The 3,200-nt window shown below is 38.2% G+C and overlaps 1 annotated feature.

The window, feature by feature from the left end:
* Positions 2,326-2,987: an enhancer, noted in NCBI's record as "OCT4-NANOG hESC enhancer chr1:214856916-214857577 (GRCh37/hg19 assembly coordinates)". NCBI's record gives its function as "activates a minimal SCP1, AML or CMV promoter by ChIP-STARR-seq in naive H9 embryonic stem cells {active_cell/tissue: H9 hESC(naive)}" and the evidence as "EXISTENCE:reporter gene assay evidence [ECO:0000049][PMID:30033119]".

Genomic DNA, 3,200 nt, shown 5'->3' with positions numbered 1-3,200 from the left:
TCCGTCCCATGGAGGGCCCTAAACAACTTCTACGCTCAGTGCTCAGCGTCTCAGCACAATCACCCTTCTAATTCACTGCATTCTGGTTGTCAATTTTTATTTGACATCTTCCCAGAAAACCCCCCCACCTCCTCCCTTTTTCTGGACTTGTCCCTACCCCATGGTTGCTACTTTTTACTGTACTTGAATACTGAATTCTTGGGCATCTTTTATTTACCTAAACTGTAGGCAAAATAAAGCAGGAAGAGGAAGGTTTAATTATAGACAGAGTTTCATCAAATAAAAGGTTACTATCAGTTTTCTAATGAAACTCCAATAATCTGAAGATAGGAAGGGAAATCAAAAACATCAGTTTTCTGTCCAATGTTTTAAGTGTTTCTGCCTAAGCCAAGAAAATATCTAATGTGTTAGGAGCTTCATCTTAACAGTGGACTCCTGTGGTGACCAGAATTTGGCTGCATTTCAAAATAATAAGCATTTGCTTCCGAAGGCTGTTTAAAGGAAATAAAAAGGCATAAAAGCTCCACCGTCCAATATGGTTTGTATTAGAATAAATTGATTATCTAAAACCTAACGTGATCAGAACTCTGCCAAAAGCCTGGCAAGCAACAATTGTTGACATAGCCCAAATCCTAATCAGCTATTTGTAACAAGTGATTATTTAATAAGCATTCACATTCATCTGTGCTTCTTCAGCCAATGAAGGAGGAAGAGAGGGGGAACCCTCAGAGGAAATCAAAAGAGCTGCAAGCCGATGTTTTTTTCTTCTTATGAGTATTAAAAAATATGTCCATAGGCAAAGAAAAAACTCAGTGTTGTCAGTCAGACACTGCACAGTTAAAAGTCTGTCACTCTTTCCATCTCTGAAACTCCTAAAGAGCAGTTGACTTACTAAACTGTTTCTAAAAGTAGAACTAGCGGGTGAGGAGATTCCACATCATGATGCTTTTCCTAAAGCACAAATTCTTTTTTTCTGTTGTTATTTATATATATGTGTGTGTATGTGTATATATATATGTATGTGTGTATATATATATATATATGAAACTATAGAATTACAATAAGAGGTACAGAAAATATACAAGATGAGCCTGGAACAAGAAACAAGTTCCAGAAAATAAGGAAGTGCTCAAAGAAAAAAAAAGGCATGGATAAAGGGTTTGTTAAAGAGACACGGGGACCAACTGAAAGAGCTCCCAGTGTCCAAAGCTGGAATCATGTAAGCAAAAAATAAAATGGTACTGGATTAAAATCTAAAGGATGAAAGAAATACCCATCGTTCCACAATAATATAAATAAATAATTGAACGCATTAATAAATGAGAGAGAAAAGTCTCCCATGCGGAAGAATTCCAAATAATTTATTTAGATACCTCACCCTGGAGGAGCAAGAACAAAATTCTCCACTCCTTAAGTGTGGGCTGCACATACTGACTTCCTTCCAAAGAGCAAGCTACGGAAAGGGGCCGGGGAAGCAGCTTTACAATGGAGAAACCTAACAAGCACTACCTTAGCCAGGTGATCAATGTCAATATCAACAGTCATGAGTCATGTTGATAGTATGTGCCCTTGGTATCATGGGATGAAAATGTCACTTTACCTCTGTGATCTTCTTCCCAGAAATCTATTAACCCATTCAAATCATGAAAAAAAAAATCAGGTAAATTTCAGTAAAGAGATGTCCTACAAAATGCCTGACCAACAATCCTCAAAACTGTCAAACTGTCAAAGTCATCAAAAACAAGGAAAGTCTGAGAAACTGTCACTGCCAAGAGGAGCCTAAGAAGCGATCATGACTAAATGTAACATGGTGTCCTGGATGGGATGCCGGAGCAGAAAAGGGATGTTAGGTAAAAATCCAAGGAAATCTGGGAAAACTATGGATTTTAGTTAATAAAAATGTATCAAGAGTAGCTCATTAACTTTAACAAATGTGTCATGCTAATATAAGATGTTAACAATAGGCGAAACTGGCTGTGCCGTAGGGTATGTGGGAATTCTTTGTTCCAGTTTCTCAATTTTTCTGTAAGTCTAAAACTGTTCCAAAAAAGTGAAATTTATTTAGAAAAATGGGTGGGCCATTAGATTGTGGATCTCTAACACAATGCCCATGTTTTTTCTTTTCTTCAGTATTCCAAATAATTTTCTGACTCGAAGAACGTTCAAAAATTGTTAAAGCCAATTATTTTCCCTGTCAACATGCACAAGTATGATATAGTGGGCAGAATGCGGGATTTAAAGAAGCACAGGCCCGAATTAAGGAACATGTCTGTCCTTGACTAGAGGGATGGCTTTCAGTTAATTAACTCAAAGAGCTTCAGTTCCATCATCTGCAAAATAGAGATCAAACCATTACTTCACAGAATTACTGTCAAGAAAGCCCCCAGCTCTTGTATCACATAGAAGACACTTAATAAACGTTGCATTTTCTCCTTTCTGTAACTCAGCTGTGCCTTCACTTAGTAAATTCTATTAAACTTACTGTGAATGAATTCATGCTTACCAGCCCACAATGGGGGGGGGAATCTGATGGAGGAGCAAAAGTAGCTATCAAATGTTTAAGAGCCACAAATACCACCTCTGAGCACAGAGCACAGATTTCTCAAGGGAGAAATTTTCTTCTGACCTCAGAATAGCCAAGTTCAAGCCAAAGTTTCTATCCTTGAAATCCATTCACGTTCATGCTGAGCCACATTGAAAGGAATATTTAAGTCAATTCTATGGCTCTCCCTGGGGCTACTCCTCCCCCTGGCAGGGCTAAGAAAGGCCCAGGGTCATCCGCTTCCTGGGGGTGATGAATTTCAGTGGCCTGTGCTGCTCCCTCCTGTGATTTGGAAATGTCACAAGAGTGGGGCTGACTTGGATATTACTGTTCCAAGTCATCCTCTCTCTCTAGGGTGTCGGGACAGGGCAACACAGAACAATAGCAATTTTTACTTGCTGGAAATGGTAATTTTTGGATTATTTTTAAGTCTTGAGGTACAGTATTAGCATCAAGCTGGTAAGTGGGTGATTATAGAGAGGGAAATAATGACTTCTACAATATGGCACTAATTCAGATATATTTAGTGGAAATTTGGAAAGGTGAAATATAGGTGATTATAGAGAGGGAAATAATGACTTCTACAATATGGCACTAATTCAGATATATTTAGTGGAAATTTGGAAAGGTGAAATATAGGTGATTATAGAGAGGGAAA

This window comes from Homo sapiens, chromosome 1 (genome assembly GCF_000001405.40).
Source record: "Homo sapiens chromosome 1, GRCh38.p14 Primary Assembly".
Classification (NCBI taxonomy): domain Eukaryota; kingdom Metazoa; phylum Chordata; class Mammalia; order Primates; family Hominidae; genus Homo; species Homo sapiens.
Note: the sequence above shows the minus strand (reverse complement) of the source record. Positions and strands in the feature narration are given on the sequence as shown.